The sequence below is a fragment of the Homo sapiens genome, chromosome 1 (genome assembly GCF_000001405.40).
Source record: "Homo sapiens chromosome 1, GRCh38.p14 Primary Assembly".
Lineage (NCBI taxonomy): Eukaryota > Metazoa > Chordata > Mammalia > Primates > Hominidae > Homo > Homo sapiens.
Genome location: NC_000001.11, coordinates 213452490 through 213479538, shown reverse-complemented (window position 1 = coordinate 213479538; position 27049 = coordinate 213452490). Strand labels below are relative to the sequence as shown.

At 40.1% G+C, this 27049-nt stretch overlaps 1 protein-coding gene across 1 annotated transcript in view; it reads right to left on the bottom strand.

Annotated features, from left to right (window-relative positions):
* Positions 1-27049, bottom strand: part of RPS6KC1 (ribosomal protein S6 kinase C1) — an 811495-nt gene that overhangs the window by 383197 nt on the left and 401249 nt on the right. Inside the window, exon 16 of the transcript XR_007058661.1 lies at positions 4444-4618. The gene's annotated coding sequence lies outside the window, so the exon portion shown is untranslated. The remainder of the gene's footprint in view (positions 1-4443; positions 4619-27049) is intronic.

Genomic DNA, 27049 nt, shown 5'->3' with positions numbered 1-27049 from the left:
CAGGCAGTTAACAAATGAGAAAACGACCAATATATACAAGTATTTTGCCTCGAAAGTAATCGGAGAGATGCAGTTTAGAAAAACAAACGAAAACACAACAAGATGCCAGTTTCCACCCTTAGACTAACCAAAATGTAAAAGCCTAACCACACCAATTACTGGTAAGAATATGACAAAATAGAAATTTCACACACCACTTGTGTAAATTGACACAATCACATTGAAGATAAATTTGGTAATATCTAGTGCAGCTAGATACTCTGCAAATCTTGTAACTCAGAAATTCCACTTCTAGTTTCATATACTACAGAATCCCTCTCATACAAGCACAATGAGACACTGAAGCTTCGTTAATAAGTACAAAAAGTTAAAAAGAATTCACATGCCCAACATAAGGGAGTGGATATGAAGTGTGATATATTCAGGTGATAGAATATATTAAATAAGTAAATCTATATGTATTATCAGGCATAGAATTTTTAAAAACAGAGAATGAAGTCTTGAAAAATGTAATTTGCAGTATGAGACCTTTTAAGTCATTTTTCATGCACAAAATGACTATTAGTGATTACAAAATATAAAATATATAAAATAAGTAAATATTTAAACGTCTAGACTGAATACTCATCAAATTCATGAGAATTGTTCCCTCTGAAGAGAAATAGAAGGGAATTGGACTACAGAAGAAACTATAGGGGATTTAAACTTCATCCGTGATATTTTATCCTTTAAACACCAAATCTGCTGCAGACTAGAAGAAAATATTTACAAAAGCTATATCTGATAAAAGATTGTCTTCTAAAATATACAAAGAACTCTTAAAACTCAACAAAAATTTATTTTAATGGGCAAAAGATCTGAGCAGACACCTTGCCAAAGAAGATACACAAATGGTAAATAAGCATATGAACAGATGCTTAGCATCATACATAATTAAGAAATTAGAAATTAAAACAACAATGAGATACCACTATACATCCATTAAAATGGCCATAATCCACTGACAGCACCAAATACTGGTGAGGCTTTGGAGCAACAAGAACTTTCACTCATTTGTTCATGGGAATGCAAATGGTACAGTCAGCCACTTTGGAAGATGGTTTGACAATTTTTTTTGCAAAACTAAACACACTTTTATCATAAAATCTGGCAAGTGCACTCCTTGATATTTATCCAAATGAGTTAAAAAATTATATCCATACAAAAACTAGCAGAAGGTTATTTATAACAGCTTAATTACAACTACCAAAACTTGGAAGCAATCAAGATGTCCTATAATCAGTGAATGGATAAAGTGTGGTACATTCGGACAATGGAATATTACTCAGCACTAAAAAGAAATGAGCTATCCAGTCATAAAAAGACATGGAGGAAACAAATGCATATAACTAAGTAAAAGAAGCTAATCTGAAAAGGCTGTATACTGTTTGATTCTAACTATTCAGACATTCTGGAAAAGGCAAAACTATGGAGATGGTAAAAAGATCGGGGTTAGAGGGAAGAAGGGATGAATAGGCAGAGCGCAGAGGATTTTTTAGGGCTGTGAAACTACTCTGTATGATGCTATAACGATGGATACATGTTATACATTTGTCCAAACCCATAGAATATACACCACCAAGAGTGAACCCTAATGTAAACAATAGACTTTGGTTGGTAATAATGTGTTGATATTAACCCATTGATTATAAAACATGTATCACAGTGACACAAGATGTGAATGACAGAGGGAATTATACATGCAGGGAGAGGGGATATCCCTGTACCTCTGACTCAATTTTGCTGTGAACCTAAAACTGCTTTTAAAAAGCTTATTAATTTTTTAAAAATCTGAAGTACGAAAAGTGTTAACATTTCTTCACTTTGGATGGTATCTGGGTTTTATTATATTAACCTTTGTGGCTTGCTTTTTGTTTTTCACTTTCATATAAAATGTTTTAAAGAAAAACATATCAGAAATATAGATCAGTAACTACAAATTTTAAAAAACAAAGATTGATATTTACAGTGATGAAAGGTACAATTCACAAAGATAGGATCATAAACATTTACACTTCTAAAACCTCAGAGAAATGTATAAAGTAAAATCTATTAGAAATATAACAAAATGCTAAGAAGACTACAATAGTGGGAGATTTTAACTTGCCTTTCAAAAAAATCAATAGATGAAATAGATAAAAAAAAAAAATAAGGGTATAACAGATTTGAAGATCTCCATTGCAAGCCCGATTTAATAAAAGGATTTTGAACTTTGTAAAACAGAATACTTATGCTTTTCAAATATCCTTGGAACATTTTTAAAAAGTTATATTAGATCATAAATAAAACTTTAAATATCTTAAAAAATAGAAATATGAAGAGCCTGTGTCCTGGCCCTACATTAGACCACATTAGGAACAGGTGAGGCAGCCACAGAGGGTTTGTCCTTGCCAAGTTCAGCACCACTAAGTCATTCAGAATGACACTGGGATCTTTCATCAGGGGGAAGGTCTCACCACCACCCAGTGGGATTGCCAAAGATGCTGAGAGTAATTGTGTCCCTCTTTGGAAATTTGCTTTCCTGAGGAAGAATAAGAAATGGAGTTGAATTGAGAATGGCCACAACGTGGATTCTTCTTGACCTAATTTACATGGGTCCTAAACCCTATTATGTAAGTCTAAGCCCTGTCTCTTACAGCAAACTGCAATGATTCTCTGTAAATCCTCTGATGGTTAAATTTCCCTTCAATTAGTTGGACTTGGTGGAGTGAAAGCAGCAAACAGGAAAATAGCACAAGGGCAACAGTCAGAAGAGAGAAAAGGGTAAGGAACAGGTGAGTCTCCAACACCATAGAAGTCCTCTCTGCAAAGCACATTCCTCCAGCTTCCTGGGTGAAATTTCTCTGGCTGAGTTAAAACATGTGTGAGCTGGGCTTGTTCACCATTGTAAGCAGAGCATGTCAGGTTTCTATGGCATGGGTGAAACGGCTGAACAGGCTAGGTCTTCACCCTCCCCATAAACCTGAGTCAGAAATAAATGGAAAGATTTATAAAGGGGAGGTGCAATTCTTCAGCTACATTGGTTTAAAGCTGGTGAAATAAATGAGTTAAACCATTCACTCAGAGTGTTTCATGAAGCAGATCTAATGTGCAGTTTTGTGACCTGATATGACTTTAACTCCTCACTAAATCAAAAAGCTTAACAAATATTAAGATGGCAACGACTACCTGTGTGGGACAGATTTGATCTCTCATCCACTATCATTTAGGAAACAAGGGCTCCAGAGGAAAGCAGCCAGCACGTCATGTGACCAAGCAGGGGGCCAAGCCCAGTCAAGATCCTCCTGGGGAATACCGGTCTTTTCAATCCTCCAAGGAGGATGCCTGAGGTTTACAGCCGGGGAGGTTTCCAGAAAGTGAGGTCTGCTTCTTTGCTGGGTGTTTCCTGAGGGCCTCTCTCTCAGCATCCTGACACTCCTCAAAGCACACCAGTCACACCAGTCACACCAGTCACACCAGCCACTGTGGGCCGCAGAGATGAGGCACTGCTGAGGGCCCTCTCCAGGGAAAAGATGTGGATGTTGCCCCAGGCCACTCCACTGCAATGGGGAATATGCCATGTGGGAGAAGATTCCCCCAAGTGTACAGTTTCAATAGACTGGCTTAGGAGACTCCAAGGTTTCAAACTTTCTGTCTGAAGAGGGTAAACTAGCAAAAGGGTAAAAGCAAGAGGCCCCACCATCTCTTTTCCGCCATACACATCAGAGCCAATATGGAGGCCAAAGATGGCCATTTCCCGGTGAAATAGCTAGAACCTCCAAACTCTAGAGCTTGAAAGACTTGGCAGTCATCTAGTCCTGGAAGCTCAAACAGTGACCCATGGAACCCTGAACTTTCATGGCCTCGTGGACATTGGGGGCCCCCGAAGAGACTGAGGGAGAGGCAGCGGGAGGGACGTGGGGTGGGAGGGGCACTCCTCACTGGATGTAGCCAGGCAGCTCCACCGGCATGTTCTTTTACCCATTGAAATTTCACATGAGACTTCTGAGAGAAAGAAAAGCTGCCTCTGCTTAGTTTGCAGATGATAAAACCCAGGTCCAGAGAAGAGAAGAGCAGGGCACAGCACGCACCCAAGCTATAGATGTTTCAATGCAACAGAAATTTCAAGAAAGAAAAAAAGATTATGCAAGCCCCTCTTAGTAAATATGCCTTTGAAAGGGGGGACAAATGAAGAAAAGTCGAGCTTCTGGACCCCTGAGGTAGACTGATGACTACATTTGGAAAATTGCACCAAAGTCTGGTGAGTGGGGAAAGGAGGCCCATGGCAAAAATCTTCTCCAAGTCAGACACCACTGTGTACCTCACAGGTTCCCACAGTGCCGGGGTAAGAAGTCTGTCCAAGATGGCACGGCCCCGTGCTTCCCCAAAGTACATGTCCAATAAAACGGCCCCGCAATCACTCACTTTGCCAGCACAAATGCTTCCAGAATCAATGCTCAGAATATATCCAGTTGTTCCTCCTCACAGCTTCCGTGAGGCCCCACTTATGGAAGACATTCTTGGTAATGATGCTTAGAGGCCTCAGCTGTTTCTCAGAGCTGGGGGTCGGGAAGGAACTCTCTTGTATCCAGGGTCTTGCCTTGATGTTGTTAAAGGGAGAGAATGGGGAAAGACAGAAATTAGTTGTGAAGTTTTATATTGAACTTTGTCCTCATAGCTAACCAGTGACCTTTTTTTTTAATTTGAATTTTTAAAGGTATTAGCCTTTGTTATTATTTGCCTGGGAGTCTGTAATAGCCTCATTTTATTAGATCCAAATTTCCTATTTAGACAACCGAGCCTAAGAGCCTGTTCAGAACAAGTAAATAATATGCATTTTCCAAAGTAATTTGCAGACACAGATACATATGCGCTCTGCTCAGATTACCAAAAAGACGAAATCACCAAGATGATGTTGTTTAATAATTTCAAAACTAAATATTTTTGCACCCAAACAGAAATACCTACTGTGTCCTGGAAAGGTCCCCTTCAGCCTGCTTGATAAATTGCACCTCATTTTCCCACCTCCCATATGCCATTTCTGATGGCTTTGAAAAAGCAGCTGGGAGAACATCATCTTCAAACCTGCACTATTTTCAGGAATGGATTTTTCCCTGTCCCTCTCTCCACTCCTATAATCAAACACATGAAATAGCCTTGTGTCCACCCTCAGAAACCAGGACTTAGAGCACCAGTTCGCTGCAAGCTTCAGGTCCCTTCCGCTGGCTGTCTCCAGGCTCAGCTCTGCTTGGGAACTGGGATCCGGGCCAAGGAGAGCCCAGCTCATGGCTGACATCCACCGAGCAACCCCAGGCAGACCGATAGGAGCAGTTGCTCCATCTACCCCCGAACCCAGGAACAGTTGAGCTAAAATTAGTCAGAGGCCCAAGGACAGACTGCTGGGAAGGCAAATGAGAGATAACAAAGGGAGAGGAAATCGCAGCCTAGAAGACCAGCTTTGGAGAAGCAGCTGGGTATCTCCTAGCTCTTCCTTAAGGAGAGAGAGGGAAGTGCTTGGTTCTTAGATTCGGGCTGGAGGGCAACTGCCTCCAAACCTGACAACAGGTCTAAGGTCAGTGACTCCTTCATTATCCACTCAGGCAGATCTAGTTCCATGCCCCTCTTCTGAAATGCACTTCCCACTCTTGCCTGCTAGATTCCAATTCTTCAAACCTCTGCTACCTTGTCTATGAAAACTTCTCGAAATGAATCCTGAGTGGTTTGGGGATACTGAGTTATTTTAGACCATAATCTAAAATGGTTACATGCAGTAGAGGATTGAAAGTCCTAAGTAGTATTCACAAACCTAACGTGGACTTCCGCAAATATCCCAAGATTGTTGGACTTGGCGGGTGGGAGGTTGGATGTTTTAGGGCTATTTGTCCTACTCCCTTCCCTATAAATCACTTGGGTTTAGTTTCCCTCCTAGGAATTTGCTTAAAGCAAAAGTAAATCCCATACCCATCTCCAGATAAAGAGAGGTGAGTGCCAACCTGCAGTGACTTCAGCAGAGAGTCACTGCTATGCAGTTGATGTCCTGGGGTACATACTCCCACTTCATCTCACCCCCCTCACATTGGCAAGAAAGAGAAGTCAGGAACTAAGTTGAGGGAAAGTGACTTCATGCCTACTGTGGTTTATTGGGGTCAGTTTTATAGCTAATGCAAAATGGAAAAGATCCCTGTCCACTATTGGGGGATAGCAGATTTTGCACAAAGTGCTGGTGTGTGTGTTGTGACTGATGAGAGAACAGTGAGGTCAGCTACTGGCCTGACTATGAGCATCAAGGGAAGCTTGATTGGTGTTGGCTTTTGCCATTGCCAGACTGATTGGTTCACAGGTGGAAAAGGGGGTCTGGCCTTCACCCTTAAATGTAACATTGCCCAATCTTTCTTTGTTCTGTGAACAAGGGTCATTTTCCCTGTTACAAAGGCAAGGCAGATGTTTTATACTAGGCATTTAAAACGGCAGATGCCAGACTCTGAAGACATCTCCCAAAGCACAGTTCATTGGAATAGGTGTCCCCAAAGCACCAGCATGGACTGCTATGCTGATGTCTTGAAGGAGATAACATTCAAGGGGATGTTTACCTTCTGATATGAATATATTCTGAGAAATAAATTGCCAAACTTTAGAGTCACACATCAGAATAGGTCCATAAAACTACTTTTAGTTGAATATACTTAGATTTCTTTGGCATGGATGTCCTTTATACTTACTTATAAAGCTCTTCTGTTTTCTCTATTAGATTGTGTACTCCCCAGGGAAAAGATTCATGTTAATTTTTTTCTATAGCCATTCCACTTCATACTCATCTCCTGGGGCCCAAAACCTAGAATATGCTCTACATGGGTGCTCCAAGGAAACTGTCAACATTTGATGGTGCTTTCCAGCTGCTGAGCATAGTAGAGTTTCCATTTCATGAAGACACGTGCACATAGAACCAAGGCCCTAAAAACTATTGTAGATAAGGACACCCATTGACAAACATCAAACATCACTGATTTCCCAAAGCCTCACGGGCTCTATCAGAGGGCCAGGAGAGTCACAATGGCTACATAACAATGAAACTCTTCCAGGTGTTTTCATGTTAACATGGTCCAATGTAATGTCAAGCTGGGAAGAATAAAGGTTAATATATTCTATTAGTCCCAATTGTCACAAGAATTTTACCTAACAATATGGTTCATTAAATGCTGAATCTAACAATTATGTTCACCATAATAGAAATTATTCAGACAGATATGATCTGAATAGTTGTGTTTTATTAATTTAGACACAAATTTAATTAGCAATTGATTTCCATTGTGTCTCCCTCTGAACAGTAAGTTTTGTGGAAAAGCATCCTAGAAAAAAATCAACTAAGAAATATCGGGTAACAATAAAGGAAGTAACCACTCCACTTTCAGAAATGCTATTATGGCTTTGCCCTGAAACAATAACAACAAAAATCATTCCAGGCAGCTTGAAGAGGTGGCTATTTTCCCTCCATCTGAGATGCCGCTGCTGACCCTGGGGAAATGACACCCTGTTGAGTCCTACAGCTGTGTTGGTGAAGACACACTCAGAGCAGAGCCAGTTCAGGGTCTCTTGGAAACCCTCTTTTCAGCTCCAAGTCAAAATAGAGAAGGACTGCTGTGGCTCCCAACTCTTGTCCCTGTCCTCACCATCTCCATAAGTTTCTGATATGTTATACTTGGAACCAAAGTTTTGCATTCCTTTTTGGGGGTTGAACACAAAAGAATGGTATCCATAATCCAAAAAAAAAAAAAATGAAGGCAGAAAAATAGAAAGAGGAACACTGTTTTTAAATGGGGAAAAATGGAATTTTCTTCTCAGTGGTCCTTTAGTCAATTTCCTACACCCAACTTCATTCCCACCCCAACTATATCTGATAGATGAGTAGCAATTATGTTTAGAAAAGGGAAACATTTGGCTTCTCATGATGCTCAGAAACTTGGGATAGGAGGATGACAGTGAGGGAAGGTAGGAGAAGGTGGAGGGGAAAACTGGACTTGATGTCGTCCTTCTCCTTCCACTGACCTCAACCCCAACTGGCTACTGGTTCTGTGCTTTAGACTATCAAAGATTGTTAACCATATTCCTTTAATAAATAAGCATATTAATAATGGAAGTAGACATTTGGGATTCTGGATTTAAATCTTTTTACACTCAGATTTTGGTTTCTAATTTTTCCCTAAAAAAACCCCAGAGTTCCTTGGCAGAATGACTGATTCTAAGTCTGGGGCAGGAAATACACAAGATGAGCCTGGAGCCTCTAGTTATACCAGAAAGAAAGACAATTAGAGTCTTTTAAATGGACTCACTTGCCCACTTAACAGGGCTCCAACTACAAAGAGTGGGGACAACTTTATTGAAACACACCAAAAACAGAATGAATCTATGATTTCCTCATGATATACACACACACAAAAATCACCATTGCTACCTCCTCACTGGTCACCCTTGAAGAATAAAAGAAAATCAACTCATTCCGAAAACTGTTACATAAAGGGAAAGAATTAAGCATTTATTGTTCTTTTCTGTATGAACCAATAGTTGATGAGGGGACGTTTCTCTTTATAGAAGCATTCCAGGCCAGGCATCGTGGCTCAGGCCTGTAATCCCAGCACTTTGGGAGGCTGAAGGAGGAGGATCACTTGAGGCCAAGAGTTGAAGACCAATCTGGGCAAGATAGAAAGACCCTGCCTCTACAAAAACTTTAAAAATTAGCCAGTTGTGGCAGGTAGCACATGCCCATAGTCTCAACTACTCAGGAGGCTGAGGTGGGCGGATTGCTTGAGCCCAGGAGGTCAAAGCATGCAGCATTCTACGATTGTGTCACTGCACTCCAGCCTGGGTGGCACAGTGAGACCCCATCTCTAAAAAAAAAAAAAAAAAAAAAAAAATTAAGAATAAAAGAAATATTCTAGCTGACTGGAATAAAGGAAGAATAAAATTTGAATATTACCATTTTGTAGCCCTAATAAATAATGAATCCAGGCAATACTCTTTAATAGTTACTGACATCATAAACAGGAAGACAACCAGGCTGGCTGGATGCACAGAACATCATCCATGAAGTATCCTTGTGAAACATTCAATCCGGTCAAACCACTAGAACTAATTACCAGTTTACAGGACAAACTAGAGGTAGAAGAAACACAATGTGTTCCATAATTTTGCATGCAGAAAAATTAAGAATGTGGAAAGCTTTACAGAACCAATCACCTGTTTTTAACTCATAAATTGCAAGGAAAACACAAAACAAAAAATAGCAACAAAAAGAAGGATGAGGAAAGCAACAGATTGAAAGAGACTCAGCCATATCAACTAAGTGTGACGTGTGAACCTTGCTTGGATCCTTCAAACAAATCAACCTAAAAAGGTATTGTGAAATAATTAGGGAAATTTGAATGCTGACTGGCTATTCAATAACAATAAGAAATTGTTTGGGATTTTTGGGCTTTGCTTTTGTTTTGCTTTAGAGACAGGTTGTCACCCAGGTTGTCACCCAGGTCTCTCTGTCACCCAGGTTGGAGCACAGTGGTACGATCATAGCTCAAACTGAGTAGGCTCAAGCGGTCCTCCTGCCTCACCCTTCTGAGTACTAGCTGGGACTACAAGCATGTGTCACCACACTCGTCTAATTTTTAAATGCTTTTTCGTAGAGATGGGGTCTTGATATGTTGCCCACGCTAGTCTCAACCTCTTGGTCTCAAGCAATCCTCCTGCCTTGGCCTCCCAAAGACAAATTGTTATTTTTAAGTGTGATAATGGTAATGTAGTTATGTGATTTTTAAAACTAAAGTTTGTTTGTCTTCAGAGACACATGCACACTTAGACACTTACTGTTGAAATGATATGATGCAGGACTCACATGATGTCAGGGCTTGGGAAAGGCTAGCGAGGAGCCTGGGGTGTGACATTGGAGGAGGCCTCACTCTAGGTCCTTAAGTCATGAGAAGGCAGGTTCAGCACCCACAAATCAGGGCTCCCTCCCTTCCATGTGTACCCTGGGCACCTCTTTCCTACCCCTAGTCCTAGCCCTCATGTGATGCCTGAGATTGGCTTCAAAACAATCCAATAGTGAGGAGAAAAGGATGGATAGGCATATATATGAGACAAAAATTAAAACTTTCTATAATCAAAGAATACAATTTTTAAAAATCCTTAAAATCAGTAGTGCCATTTTTTAAATTTTAAGCTAACAGTAACTTTTGAAATAACTTGCAATAATTACTGTTTTCAGGTTTACCACCACTCAGCTGTGAGCTCTTTCATATCAGATCTTATTCAGCTTTGATTGACTCTAAATATACATCCTGCATCTCTCTGAGCCAGGCTGTGTTCGGAGTTGGAGATACAACATGGAATAAGAAAGTCCCTGCCTGCATAAACCTTGCACTCCAGTAAAGGACAAAGACAAAAGGAAACAAACTGGCATTAAAGGGGACAGCGGGATTACCAAGACAGCAAATCACAAAAGGGGTATATTTTAGGAAGGACAGCTGGGAAAGCTTTCTCTGAGGTGTCGCTAAGTAAGCTGAGACCTAGAAGAGAAGGAGTGGGCCATGTGAGGAGTGATGGGCAACTCCAGGCAGCAGGAGTCAAGCATATGAAGGCCCAGGGTCAAGAAAGACCTGGTACATTCAAGAAAACAAGGGAAGGTGGGGCTGGCACATCGTGAGTGAAGGGCACTCGGGAGCAGATGAGATTGAATAGGCACGAACTAGATCATTTAAGTCTTCGTGGGCATCAGATGTTTGTTTGCCTGTTTGCTTCTTTTTTAATCTTATATGCACTATAACAACCAGAATGTCTAGTGCATAATAAACTCAATGTATTGATCTGGATTAACCACTATATTTGGAAAGTTCCTGTTAGAACCTCAGACAGATGTTCTTCATGGATTAATTCGTAAGTTTGTATTAACCACAATTCTGTTGATTTCTCAAGTCTCTCTCTCTATTTCAGGAAACCTATAGAAACTGATCTATTTAACCCTTTCCCTGCTTCAGCACAGGTTTCACAGAACAGAGAATAATGTATGAATGAGCCTGAGAGTCCTTCATGCTTTTCCACAGCTTGAAGTGAGTTGCAAGGTGGAAGTAATTGAGGTTGGCAGGACTAGAAATTGGACATAGCCTCTTAGCTGCAGGAGCATGAAGTCTTCCCAGCTTGGCTTCCTAACTTAGTTTGAAATAAGTTTTTGGAATGTCAAACATTTCCATATTCAAAGGTAAGTATACACGTATATTCCAAAGCCAAATAAAAATAGCTTTTGGATTATCTGCCATTTTCTGTTACACAGGATAAGGTTCCACTCATTTAGTGCCTATGATCAAGAATTAACTTTATACATCAAACACAAATGGATGGGAAAGGCAACAGAGGGGAAAGCCTTTCAAAATAGCCTGAAATGGAAGTAATGTGTTTATGTCTAATTTGTTGAACAAAAGGACTTTCACCCGTTAGGAGAACAAGGTAATCTAGTTTTAGATCTTAAAGGAGAGAACAAATGGAGTGTTCTTTTTCTTCGTAATTGTTTACCTTTAATGCCATTACAAGGGTGTATAATGAAATGGAAAGCCATTTAATGAAAATGTATGCATATTGACAGCAATGATATGTTCACACCAGAAATGAAATGCAAATCTGTGGGGAAATGAACACTAAAGAAGGCACCAACAAGCCTTGTTCATCAATTAACATGGAAGTGAGCCCTAGAAAATAATAGCCTGGAATATGTTCTCCCTTCCTGCAACCTACAGGCTGTGGATGCAGGGAATTCAGGTAAATGGAGAAGGGAAGAGGATCTCTGTGGTCTGAAACCACCACTGAAGGGAGCAGATCCTACCACATGGAATTTTTACCCCTATCCTCAATCCCAATCTATTTCTTCATTTGCCAAAAACAAAAACCAAGAACCAAAAGACCACGTGTCAAATCCATCTTTAGCAAATCTTCCCTGATTAACCCCATCTAGATTGGTCACTGCCCTTAGTTCCCATTTACATAAAGAACTTTTGCACATGTTAATGTATTGCTTCAAAGAACACAGTTCGCTGATACATTGTTCCGGATCATTTCATCTCAATATTTTTGTGTGCATTTGAGAATTCAGGTGCCTGGAAATTTTCCCTTTCATTTGGGAATTCAGGTATAAAGTCAATTTTCTATAATTGCTTGTGGCGTTATTCCCAGTAGGGGAACTATTGGATGACATTTCCATCCAAGATGAAAACTGACCAGCCATTTTGTTTAAACAGTGCTTGGTCACTAGAATTCCAATTCAGTTGGTATAATTTATATTGATTCCTTCCATATGTTCTTTAATCAATTCTCAGTATCTCCACTTCCTTCTTTACCCCTTTGTCAGTAGGCTCTGGGAACACAGACATCTGCCCAGAGGCAGTCAATTCTGCTGCCAATAGGGAGTTTCACACCCACAGATGCAAGAGTAAAAATAAAACAAAAATCTAAAACTAGTTAAAAAAAAAAAAAGATTGGTAGATAGGTTTGGACCCATTTCCTTAAGGCTCATAGGCCTCCTTAAGGCTCTTATGCCTGCCAATTTAATAGAATATTAAATTGGATAACTGCTTTCCTGTAGTCAGTAGACAGGACACATGGTCATTTAGGTTCATGGTTGACTGGACATCTTCACATATGAAAGCAATGACCTGCCTGTCAGAAAAACCACAGCCCATACATTCTTATGGGCTTGCATATATTCTTATCTCAACCCCAAAATCTCAGGAGGGAGGAGTCTAAGACTCTGAACCAGAGACACTGCATTGCTAATGATAAAGATACATTAAGAGTGACACTAGGTCTTATCTGGAGCAGATTCCAAGGGCCTTAGAGCATCCTGAAAAGCTGTGTATTTAGCATCCATTCATTTCTCTGCATGAAGCATTAAACATGTACAAATGTACAACCAGAAGCAGAATGAATAATGTCATCTCATCCCCTCCTTCTCTTTGCCATTCTGTTGCCAGCTTAACTCCATTCTCCTCAGCAAGGGCTCCTCTGGCCACCCCAGGACTGGTAAGCATTTCATTCCTGGCCACACCTAAAGCACTCTCTCTAGATCATGATCCTGGTGTTTGCTTTTATTCATTCGAGCATGTTTGCCCAATCTTGCCATCAGACTGTGTGCTCTGAGAGGGGGAGACAGTCTCATTCAGCTTGTATTCCCATACTTAACAAAATAGTATCAACAATTTTTTTTCAATAAATATTGACCCCTCTAAAATCTTAACTTTTAAAAGGCCAGATCTTTTTTACTTAGGTTGTATGGCATCTCAAACAAAATATAACTATATAAATAAAAACAATGGAATGAGAATTGGTGAACATTGTTTCTAGATCAGTGAGTGGGAAATCCAAAAGAATTTGAGTTAGGTGGAGGTTGTGGGGGACAGGTGGGGAGAAGCAGTATCAAAGAGAATGAAGAAATTCATCCCAATCTTTTCCTCCCCACTTCTGTGCATTCTGCCCCCCAAAGCCTGACCCCAAGCCCCTGATCACCATGAGAAGCAAAAGATTTTTCTCTAAGAAGAAGAGCAAGGATGGTCTCTAAGGCACGACCTCGGTATGGGCAGTGGGGAAATGAGGGCAGTTGTGGAAGGAGAGATAGGGACTGAGCCTGGGAATCACAAGCTGTCAGAGTGGAAGGGGCCTAGGAGAGTCTCTCAAACTTACATATTTAATAGATAAGAAAATAGGAGGTCCAGAGAGGATGAAATTGAATCTAGGCCACAGAATTCATCCTAGGCAAAAATACCGATTAGAGTCCAGGTTTCCTAACACAGAGTTTATATTTTGAACTAGAAAAAGTTAATTGTATTTCTTTAATTAAAAAAATGGGAGTGAACATCCAGAATTAATCTATTAAAGGTAGAGACTCAATGAACGAGTTTTTTAAAAACCACCTATCAGCTGTTTATGAGAGACACACCTAGAGTGACCTGGGAGAGCTACAGTAAAAGGATGGTAACAAAGTGTTAGCAAGGATGTCAATACACAGCTGATTGGCGAGGAAACTGGCACAGCCACATCAGGAAACTAGTGAGTGATACCTGGTGAAACTGAAAATGTGTATGCCCTTTAACCCAGTGATTCTACTTCCAGGTATAGAAACTCTCCTACCTGTGCATGCAGAAAAAATGTTCACTAATGTAAATTACATTAGAAACAGCAACCACAAGATAGCCCTGTTAAAGTTCAGGTTCCCCAGGAAACAAACTGTGAGATAGATATCTGTGAACAGGAGGTTTTGAGTCATATTCCCTAGAGCAACACCTGCAAAAGAGAGGGGGTAGGGGAAGAAGGCGAAGCAGAACTGGGCAGAGGGAGAAGGTGAACCACAGTGCAGTAGCAACAGAGGTCTTGGATGATCCTACAGATAAATCTGGATCTAGGACTGCCCTTGAAGTTGTCCTGAACTGAGGCATGGAGGTAAGGCCTTTGTACCCCTCAACCAGTCACAGATGTAAGCTGCCCTGGAAAGGGGTGTGACTTTGGGTGAGTAACTCCCTTTGGCTGAGGGCAATGCCTAAAGAAGGACTCAGCTGTGACCCATTAGCAGCCGATATTCCCTGCACCTGGGAGAATGACTGTCTTGGTCCTAAAGAGAGAACTATGTGGCACACCACACCATCCACTGTAGCACCCTCTATCCATAAAAATATGCAGCCAGAAATGTAAATGCATTTCTGATTTAAAAAAAAAAACCTGCAAATAACAAACTATTTTGAAATGAAAAACAAACAGAATACGACATACCGAAATCAATGGCATGCACCCTAAATGAATCCTAAGAACATTTATGGCCTTAACTGCATGGGATAGAAACTAAAATTGTGAATAAACTACTTAAAAATCTAGAAAAGGAAAAATAAATATGCCAAATAAAGCAGAAAGAATTAATGAAGATACACTCAGAAACTAATGAAAGATAATATATTTTTTTAAAAGCACTGATCAGTAAACTAAGAGCTAAGTCTTTGAAAATAAAACTGAGTCTGATCAAGAAAAGGATGAAAGTTATAAGTAAATGGAAAAAGGTACTATGGCTACAATTTTTTAATTGTAAGAGAATTCTATGTAAAATGTTATGCCAACAAATTTGAGAACTAGATTTAAATGATTTTATGGAAAGTATAAATTATAACAGTGTGAAAAATAAACAACAATAAACCAATAAACTTTGGAAAAATTCTACCAAGCATTCAAAGAACAGAAACTATCCAATCCATATCAAATACTGACATAAAAAAAGGTGGAAAGCTACTAAACTGATTTTATGAAGCTAGCATAATAATTCTAGTTCTGAGACGGGACAAGGACAACACAAGAAGATGAAACTATCAGCCAATACTACATGTGAGCAGACATGCAAAAGTCCTAAAGAAAATATTAGCAAACTTAATAACAGCATACTAAAAAATAATGAACCAAAATCACTTTATTCTATGAGCTTTTACATATCTATTGATGTAATCTACCACATCAGTACATTAAAGGGAAAATCAATATAAGTATCTCAGTAGACATCTCCCAAATCAACACGCATTTATAATGTTGATTATTCTGATATCAATGACTACAATGGCCTATAGTGGCTTAAATGGCCTACAAAGCCCAAAATAATCTAGCTAGCCTATTACCTCTCTGACTGCAACTTTTTCCAGATCACTGGATAGAGGAAACAGAGAACAGTATTAATAGTTGCCAGAGTGATTGAATTCAAGTGGGGCAGAGTTTCAGAGAGGAGGGACCTGAAAACGAGCCCCAAAAACTCAGCATAAAATTGCCCTTGAGTGTTTGGCCAACTCTTGAGGGCAAGACCTCAAAAAACCTAGCAGAGAATATTCTGGGAAGCTAAAAGCTGAGCAGAGAGCTCAGAGGACATGTACTGCGCTAGGGAGATATTGAGATACAGGTCCAGCTAAAGTAGATAGATCCTGGTGAATATCTCAAGCTTTCAGTACTATGGTTTTGCAAGAGTTTACTATTGGGGGAAACTGAGTAAAAGGTACACAAGATCCCTCCGTACTGTTTCTTAAAACTGTACATGAGTCTACAATTATCTCAAATAGAAAGTTTAATTTTAAAAAACAAAGGCAAAAAGAAATGTTCTCAGACAAGCCAAAGCTAGATCACTCAGCTGATAAGTGAAGGGCTCAGATTCAAACTGAAGCAGAGCCTACGGCTTGCCCAAGCAGACAGGCCCCAGAGTCTGTGCTCTTAGAACTCTACTGGATGAGCCCTTGGGGCTCACAAGCAGCACTCCAAATTTTCAACATTGACTCTCTCTAGCAGGAAAAATGGGATCAGGTTGGCAGTATGATGGAGTTTCAGCTTTGTGTTGTTTGAATGTATAACAAGAATAAACACATTGTTTAGGAATTTAAAAATAAAAATTCAAGTTTAGGAGGACAGTGATGAACCTTACTTAGTAGGAAACAAAAGTTGGAAATGAAGTAAGAAGTTTAATTCAGTGGTGGCCTAAGAATAAGGCCTCTACACAGCAACATATGTCTACATGTATCCACATGCAAATAAAGGCAATTTGCAAATTGGTATCTGAAGCAGTGTGGAGTTTTTTTAATTATACTTTAAGTTCTGGGATATATGTGCCAAACGTGCAGGTTTGTTACACAGGTATACACGTGCCGTGGTGGTTTGCTGCGCTCATCAACCTGTCATCTACATTAGGTATTTCTCCTAATGCTATACCCTCCCCTAGTCAACCACCCGCCAACAGGCCCCAGTGTGTGGTGTACCCCTCCCTGTGTTCATGTGTTCTCATTGTTCAACTCCCACTTATGAGTGAGAAAAATGCAGTGTTTTCTGTTCCTGTGTTAGTTTGCTGAGAATGATGGTTTCCAGCTTCATCCATGTCTCTGCAAAGGACATGAACTCATCCTTTTTTATGGCTGCATAGTATTCCATGGTATATATGTGCCACATTTTCTTTATCCAGTCTATCATTAATGGACATTTGGGTTGGTTCCAAGTCTTTGCTGTTATGAATAGTGCTGCAATAAACATACGTGTGCATGTGTCTTTATAGCATGATTTATAATCCTTTGGGTATATACCCATAATGGGATTGCTGGGTCAAACGGTATTTCTGGTTCTAGATCCTTGAGGAATTGCCACACTGTCTTCCACAATGGTTGAACTAATTTACACTCCCACCAACAGTGTAAAAGCATTCCTATTTCTCCACATCCTCTCCAGCATCTGTTGCTTCCTGACTTTTTAATGATTGCCATTCTAACTGGTGTGAGATGGTATCTCATTGTGGTTTTGATCTGCATTTTTCTAATGACAAGTGATGATGAGCTTTTTTTCATATGTTTCTGCAGCATAAATGTCTTTTGAGAAGTGTCTGTTCATATCCTTTGCCCACTTTTTGATGGGGTTTTTTCTTGTAAATTGGTTTAAGTTCCTTGTAGAGTCTGAATATTAGCCCTTTGTCAGATGGATAGATTGCAAAATTTTTCTCCCATTCTGTAGGTTGCCTCTTCATTCTGATGATAGTTTCTTTTGCTGTGCAGAAGCTCTTTAGTTTAATGAGATCCCATTTGTCAATTTTGGCTTTTGTTGCCATTGCTTTTGGTGTTTTAGTCATGAAGTCTTTGCCCATGCCTATGTCCTGAATGGTATTGTCTAGGTTTTCTTCTAGGGTTTTATTGTTTCAGGTCTTACGTTTAAGTCTTTCATCCATCTTAATTTTTGTATAAGATATAAGGAAGGGGTCCAGTTTCAGTTTTCTGCATATAGCTAGTCAGTTTTCCCAACACCATTAAGTAGGGAATCCCTTCCCCATTGCTTATTTTTGTCAGGTTTGTCAAAGATCAGACGGTTGTAGATGTGTGGTATTATTTCTGAGGCCTCTGTTCTGTTCCATTGGTCTACATATCTGTTTTGGTACAAGTATCATGCTGTTTTCATTACTGTAGCCTTGTAGTATAGTTTAAAGTCAGGTAGCATGATGCCTCCAGCTTTGGTCTTTTTGCTTAAGATTTTCTTGGCTATATGGGCTTTTCGGTTCCATATGAAATTTAAAGTACCGTTTTCTAACTCTGTGAAGAAAGCCAATGGTAGCTTGATGGAGATGGCATTGAATCTATAAATTACTTAGGGCAGTATGGTCATTTTCACAATATTGATTCTTCCTATCCATAAGCATGGAATGTTTTTCCATTTGTTTGTGTCCTCTCTTATTTCCTTGAGCAGTTGTTTGTAGTTCTCCTTGAAGAGGTCCTTCACATCCCTTCTAAGTTGTATTCCTAGATATTTTATTCTCTTTGTAGCAATTGTGAATGGGAGTTTACTCATGATTTGGCTCTCTGTTTATTATTGGTGTATAGGAATTCTTGTGATTTTTACACATTGATTTTGTATCTGAGACTTTGCTGAAGCTGCTTATCAGCTTAAGGAGATTTTGGGCTGAGACGATGGGGTTTTCTACATATACAATCATGTCATCTGCAACAGAAAGGTCGGGTTACCCACAAAGGGAAGCCCATCAGACTAACAGTGGATCTCTCAGCAGAAACCTTACATGCCAGAAGGGAGTGGGGGCCAATATTCAACATTCTTAAAGAAAAGAGTTTTCAACCCAGAATTTCATATCCAGCCAAACTAAGCTTCATAAGCAAAAGAGAAATAAAATCCTTTACAGACAAGCAAATACTGAGAGATTTCTGTCACCACCAGGCCTGTCTTACAAGAGCTCCTGAAGGAAGCACTAAATATGGAAAGGAAAAACCGGTACCAGCCACTGCAAAAACATACCAAATTGTAAAGACCATTGACACTATGAAGAAACTGCATCAACTAATGGGCAAAATAACCAGCTAGCATCATAATGACAGGATCAAATTCACACATAACAATATTAACCTTAAATGTAAACAGGCTAAATGCCCCAATTAAAAGACATAGACTGGCAAATTGGATAAAGAGTCAAGACCCATAGGTGCACTGTATTCAGGAGACACATCTCATGTGCAAAGACACACATAGGCTCAAAATAAAGGGATGGAAGAATATTTACCAAGTAAATGGAAAGCAAAAAAAAAAAAAAAAAAGCAGGGGTTGCAATCCCAGTCTCTGATAAAACAGACTTTAAACCAACAAACATCAAAAGAGACAAAGAAGGGCATTACATAATGGTAAAGGGATCAATGCAACAAGAAGAGCTAACTATCCTAAATATATATGCACCCAATATAGGAGCACCCAGATTCATAAAACAAGTTCTTAGAGACCTACAAAGAGACTGACTCCCACACAATAATAATGGGAGATTTTAACACCCCACTGTCAATATTAGATCAACAAGACAAAAAATTAACAAGGATATTCAAGACTTGAACTCAGCTCTGGACCAAGCACACCTAATAGACATCTACAGAACTCTCCACCCCAAATCAACAGAATATACATTCTTCTCAGCACCACATTGCACTTATTCTAAAATTGACCACATAATTGGAAGTAAAACACTCCCTAGCAAATGCAAAAGTATGAAAATTGTAACAGTCTCTCAGACCACAGTGCAATCAAACTAGAACTCAGGATTAAGAAACTCACTCAAAACCACACAACTACATGGAAACGGAACAACCTGCTCCTGAATGACTACTGGTAAATCACAAAATGAAGGCAGAAATAACAATGTTCTTTGAAACCAATAAGAACAAAGACCCAATGTGCCAGAATCTCTGGGACATAGCTAAAGCAGTGTTTAGAGGGAAATTTATAGCACTAACTGCCCACAGGAGAAAGGGGGAAGGATCCAAAACGACACCCTAACATCACAATTAAGAGAACTAGAGAAGCAAGAGCAAACACATTCAAAAGCTAGCAGAAGACAAGAAATAACTAAGATCTGGGCAGAACTGAAGGAGATAGAGACAGAAAAAAACCCTCCAAAAAATCAATCAATCCAGGAGCTGGTTTTTTTTAAAAGATTAACAAAGTAGACCTCTAGCCAAACTAATATAGAAGAAAAAATAATCAAATAGACACCATAAGAAGTGATAAAAGGGTTATCATCGCTGATCCCACAGAAATATAAACTACCATCAGAGAAGATGATAAACACCTCTACACAAATAAACTAGAAAATCTAGAAATTCCTGGACACATACATCCTCCCAAGACTAAACCAGGAAGAAGCCGAATCCCTGAATAGACCAATAACAAGTTCTGAAATTGAGGCAGTAATTAATAGCCTACAAACCAAAAAAAAGCCCAGGACCGGATGGATTCACAGCTGAATTCTACCAGACGTACAAACAGGAGCTGGTACCATTCCTTCTGAAAGTATTCCAAACAATAGAAAAAGAGAGACTCCTCCCTAACCCATTTTATGAGGCCAGCATCTTCCTGATACCAAAACCTGGCAGAGACACAACAAAAAAAGAAAATTTCAGACCAATATCCATGATGAACATCGATGTGAAAATCCTCAATAAAATACTGGCAAACTGAATTCAACAGCACATCAAAAAGCTTACCCACCACAATCAAGTCAGCTTCATCCCTGGGATGCAAGGATGTTTCAATATATGGAAATCAAACGTAATCCATCACATAAACAGAACCAATGACAAAAACCATGATTATCTCAATAGATGCAGAAAAGGCCTTCGATAAAATTCAACACCCCTTCATGCTACAAACCCTCAATAAACTAGGTATTGACGGAATGTATCTCAAAATAATAAGAGCTATTTATGACAAACCCACGGCCAATATCATACTGAATGGGCAAAAGCTGGAATCACTCCCTTTGAAAACCAGCATAAGACAAGGATGCCCTTTCTCACCACTCCTATTCAACATAGTATTGGAAGTTCTGGCCAGGGCAATCAGACAGGAGAAAGAAATAAAGGGTATTCAAATAGGAAGAGTGGAGATTTCTTAAAGAATATAAAACAGAACTACCATTTGACCCAGCAATACCATTACTGGGCATATATCCAAAAGAAAAGGCACTGTTCTACCAAAAAGACACATGTACTTGTGTGCTCTCTGCAGTGCTATTCACAATAGCAAAAACACAGAATCAACCTAAGTGTCCATCAACGGTGGGCTGGATTAAAAAAAAAGTGTTACGTTTACACTATGGAATACTAGGCAGCCTTAAAAAAGAATGAGATCATGTCCTTTGCAGCAACATGGATGCAGCTGGAGGCCATTATCCTAAGCGAATTAATGTAGGAACAGAAAACCAAATACCATATGTTCTCACTTATAAGTGGGAGCTAAACTTTGGGTACATATGGACATAAAGATGGCAATAATAGATACTAGTGACTTGTAGAGGGGGAAGGAGGATGGGGCCAAGGGCTGAAAAACTACCTATTGAGTACTATGCTCACTACCTGGGTAATGGGATCATTCACACCCCAAACCTCAGCATCACGCAATATACCCACGTAACAAACCCACAATGCATCCCCTGGATCTAAAATTAAAGTTGATAGTATTTTTTAAAAATAGTTTTTGGAAGTACACTTACTGCTATAAAAATCTAATTGAATCAGAGGTAAAATGTTCCCAGAAGTTGAAAAGTCACAAGACAGGAATGTGGTTGAGGAGTAAGCCAAGAATCTTAAAAGTATTTTCCTATTTATGAATTTGGGGAAGCACATGGGTCTCAGACTGTGTCTTTTGTGTATGTCAAGAGTCTGTTGCATTTATATATGTATGAACCCAGCAATTAAGTTATTGATCCAATTGTTCCTTGCAAAAGACATTATTTAAACCATTCTGTTGCCAATTAAGTTATTACTGTATCTAGAATACACCACTTGCTGGATCACTTTGTACTCAAAAAGGAATTAAACAGGCTTCTACTTAACTTGAACCATACCTAGGACTTGGAAATCAACCTGAGCTCTGGTAGTTGAACTAGATGGTCAGTTGCAGAAGTGGGTTGCCCAGTCAACCATGCATAACCAGTGAGTGTGAAAGGGACAAGGTAAAAGGCAGTGTCCCTGCTCAGTGAGAGGATGCCCGGAAAGTCCCTAATGAGTTAACTAATGCAGGCAGAAGATCCCTGGAAGGGGTTCATCAGCTTCACCTGCCATAGGCCTTCCCTGGAAGTCAAACAGTCAAAGCAAATCAGAGGAGCCAATCAGCCCTGGCATGGAATCCCCAGAGAGCACGGTCAGCCAGCTGGCTCAAGGTCCTGGGTTGCCGAGGATGGCGTGGAGCTGGAAGTTTCTCACTTGGAGCTCAGCTCCAGCAGGCAAAGCTTGGATCAAAGACAGACAGCTGGAAAGAACAGAACAATCACATCAAAGAATCTTAGGGCTGAATCAGACCTTCAGAAGTCATTTAACTCTTCCCTCCAGCCCTCACAGATATAGGGTGACCTCTCCCCTCCCCTTTTAAAACTATTACTATTATATTATTTTAAACGAAACATTCTACAACCTTTCTGTGTCAGGAAGTCCTTCTTGAGTCCTAGCCCAGATTATTCTTAGGATATTTAGAAACTTCTGCCATTTCAAAAGGAGTTAGAAATGAAATATGAAACCCCCCAAAAATATTGACAAGCTTCCTTGGGCTAAAAAAAGAGATTCATAGCCACATTAAGAAACTACATACAAAATTCTGTACTTAACAGAACAGATCAGTTGTGGGACAAGGGGTAGGTAGAGAAGGAAAGGCACGTTTCAGTGTTACAAAGGGGAGTTATTAAAAATGGAATTATTGCATGATTTTTAAGGTGCATTATTATGGTCTATTTAAGTGATTGTTTATGGAATAGCAACTGCTTTATAGAACATTTTAATAGGCAAATTAAAAGAAATTACCCATTGCCCCACTGTATATCTGTAAATCATGAAAGGGTATAAATTAATAGGTTTAATACTCCTCAATCCACCCAGCTAGGACATGAGCCTTACTGGGACCTTCATGTGGCAGATAAGAGTAGGGTATAAGTGGGCCTAAGTTAGGAAGACCAGCAGTCAGAATTAGAATACCTGAAGAAAGGCGACAAATGAAGATACGTTCAGGACAGACATCAGAATCAAAAACATCCAGTTGCCAAACAGGTAGCATTCTTATGCCTCCTGGAAGGTTTATCCAGCATGAAGCAGGACACAGCCAGGGGCTGGTCAGACTATCTTTTGTGTATGTCAAGAGTCTGTTGTATTAAAGTATATATGAATATATAAAAATATATATTAATACAAGGACCTAGGGTTCAACCTCTTCAACTAGACAGGAAGCCAGGCCTCCAGACCAAAGGAGACTAAGGCAGCAGCCCAACAAGAAGACATGCTGCACGGGACGCACACTCCGTGGCAAGTTTTGAGCACAAAACTAATCCCTGACCCCATGTGCCGATAGGAATGAGGCATCTGTGATACACAAAGCCTCGCTCCTCATTGGCTATGGGTCTCTGATGGCACAGGCTGGGTTCACCGAAGCAGGTGTAGCAGTTGTAAGGGCATGAGGGGCCATGAAAATCTAAAGAGAAGCACTGGAATTATAAAAGAGGTTACCCCACGGGTAAGGTGGGGAGAGTGGTGAGGAAGGGGCTCCTGGGGGCCTTCGGCTATGTTCAAGCAGTGGAGTGTCATGGATGTCTGTCATAATTTTCTGGTCTACACCTTTTCAAATATCTGCAATATTTCTTGGTAAAAATAAAATTATCAATAAAAACAAAAGGCAATGAGACAAAAATTCAGAATTGCTTCTTACTGTTGGTCAGTTTCTGTCTCCTTAATCTCCTCTGTAGCTTATATTCCATGGCTTCCTCCTTTAAAACTGGTATTAATCAAGGTTCTGTCATGGGCCCTTCATTCCACTTAATCTATACTCTCTCTGCATAATCTCATTCCAAGACTTCCTTCACCTTCTATATGAGAAGGACATCTCAATTTTATATTTCTCACCTGGCCACAGCTCCCGTGCTAGAACCTCATCCACTCAACTGCTTATTTGACATCTCACTTAGGATAGACCTGAAATTCCCTTTGTCCAGACAGAACTCAGTACCTGTCCCCTACATCTAGCCACCTTTTGTTTCCCACTTTGGTCTAGCATCAGCATCCACCAAGTTGCTCAAACAAGAAATGTAGGCACTGTCCTGACATTTCCTTCCTTCTTCAAATCCAGTCACCAAGTTCTGTCAAGTCCACTTTTTAATGTTCTTAAATTGACTTATCCTATTTCCACTATGAATTTCCTGGTTACGATCCACCGCCATTCCTCATTGGAATCACCAACACTCTCCCTCCACCTCCTTGCAGGGAAACAGATGTAGGACAGCCAGCACTCAATTTCCTTTGAAGTTCTAATTAAAGAGCTTTTCTGTCACCTCCATCCTTTTCTCTATCACTCTGAGTTGCTCCAAAATTCTTAAGGTTCTGGGAGGAATCAAATTTGCCTTTCTCCCCTCAATGTCCACATGGGAGTCAGACAGAACCAGATTAACTAGGTCCTCGTGGCCTGGACGCTCCCTGAGGCACCTGTTGAAAAGCACTCCGAGGCACTGCTAAAGTAGATCAAACAAGTGTTACCAGTTAACTCAGGTTCCTTGACAAAGGATAAACTGGTCCCAGTCTGGCAAAAGCAGATGGGTCCCCGCCAGAGTTGACCTAGCTCTGCCGTGTATTTTTAATAGTCACAGTGTGATTTGCTTAGTGCAAGGCTAAGAGACAACACCAGCCAGAGGGCACGCCTCTAAAGGCACCCATCTCGATCAGCTGGAATTTGGACACTGAGTTATTCAGGTGCAGTTCTGATTAGGAAGCAAGTGGTTTGGGTTTATCTAAATCTGAAGGCCTTTATTAAGCCTCCCTATAAGTTGCTTCTTTCAGAAAAATCACACATACACACACACACCAAAAAAGGAAAAGAATTAGAAAATTCAGAATACTTTTTGTCTACAGACATGCCAGGGAAAAGAAAAATTTTAAAAATATATTTATCAAGATTGTCTAGCCACATTTTTGTGAATTACACCTGTGTGTGCCCAACACCTTCCAGGTATAAGTTTAGACAGAAAAAGAACATTAATCCAAATATGTTACATTGTTACATTGCATGAGGTTAACTCCCTTATTTTGAACACAAAGAAAAATGTGCAATTTTATTAATAGAAAACCAGTTTCTCCTTATCCTCTAAAAATAAGTATTAAATGTTTTTAAAATAGCCCTTGAAGGGGTGTCAGATTGATATTAAGAATATTCATATTAATAAATTTCACGTGTCCTTGTTTGTTCAAAGAGCATGGTCTTTGTAAGCAGCTGTGGCAGAAGGACTCTAAGATAGAGTTGACCCTTGAACACAGAAATTAGGAATGCTGACCCCCCCCATGTGGTCAAAAATCTGCATATATTAATAAACTTTTGACTCCCCCAAAACGTAATTACTCATAGCCTACTGTTGTCCAGAAGCCATACCAATAACATAGTGGATTAACACATAGACTATTATCTACATACATTTTATGCATTCATGACAAACCTTTTTATTATTTGACAAAGCTTTTTCAATATTTTTAGGCTACATGGTTTGTCCGCAAGTTTTTCAACTTGTTGCAAATCTCCAAAAAATTTTCCAATGTATTTTTTGAAAAATATCCATGTATAAGCGGACCTGCCACAGTTCAGACCTGGACCTGTGTTGTTCAAGGGCCAACTATATTTGGATTTAGTCCCAGCTTTACCACCAACTGCTTAGGCAAACTTCTATGGTTTCTTCCCATTCTCAGTCCTTCAGTTACTTACCTGTAAAACCAAAGGCACTGACTTGTTCAGCGACTTTCAACTTTTTACTGTTACCCCAAAGTGCTTACCATTTCTACAAGACCCTTCCTGAGCTCCTGAACCTCCGGCCTCTGACTGAGCTCCAACCACACTAATTGCTTTTCACGGTCTCTGGCTCACTATTCTTGTACTCACCTGTCCTGGCCCTTAGCAGAAGGTACTCTCCCTGCCTAGAATACCCTCCCTCCAAATCTCCTGAACAACTCTCACCTGTTTTTCAGGTCTCAGGTGAGATTTCTCCTCTCCTTAAAAGTCTCTCCTGTGCCCCCAAGAAGTCTCCATTTGGTGGCCCCACAAGGTGATCCTGGAACAGCCTGCTCCTCTCCCACCACAACTCCTACCACACTCATAAGTGTCTGTGGGCATGATTATCTTTCTCATATGTGTGTAAGCTCCATCGGCTCCATGATGACTTCAGAGTTGTTTCCCCAGTCCCTAGCATAGTGCCTGATGTATAGAAGATATTCAATAACTATTTATTGAATAAATGAATCAGTTGGTAAATTGCCTCTCCTTACCGTCCAGGAGTAGAAATGTGTCAAGATACCGAAGTATACCCAGATGCTTTCAGTGGATGAGAATAACAAGGAGAAATGGCCACGAGATGAAATGATGGGAGGGCAGCCAGCTCAGTGATACCATACGTGGATTACCTTTGTCAGATGCTCCTTCCCAAATTGATTTCCCTTCCACACCAGCATGTTAGCAGGGTGCTATCCTCACTAGTAATCCATGGACAGATTGGAAATGCTAACACTATTCACCCAAGCAAAGCGGAACCAGCCAGGTAAATCTGTCCTGTACAAATCATACAAGGCATTCCAAAGCCAAGTAGAAATGAATATTGGATTAGCCCTCACTCATGCAGATAATTGAGAGTTAGTCCAGTTTGGGGTTTGTTTGCTCGTGTACTTTTATATCCTGGCTGTGGGATCCCGCCAGCCTGGGAGGAGGGTGGAGCCAGCAGCACAGGACAGGGCTGAGCCTGCTACTGAGGAGGTCTCTGTGCTGCGGAGGCGGGGCAGTGGACAGTGCTGGCCACAGCCTCTGCTGGTCTCTGGGATGTGCTGTATTGCAGGTCCATGAGAAACTAATTCTGTACCAAGTTCTTTCATTATTTCTCTGGACCTAGAGAAAATGTGGGGAGGAAAGACTTAACAGCCATTTTATCTAGGTGCTAGAAGCTCACACCAAGAAGCAATAA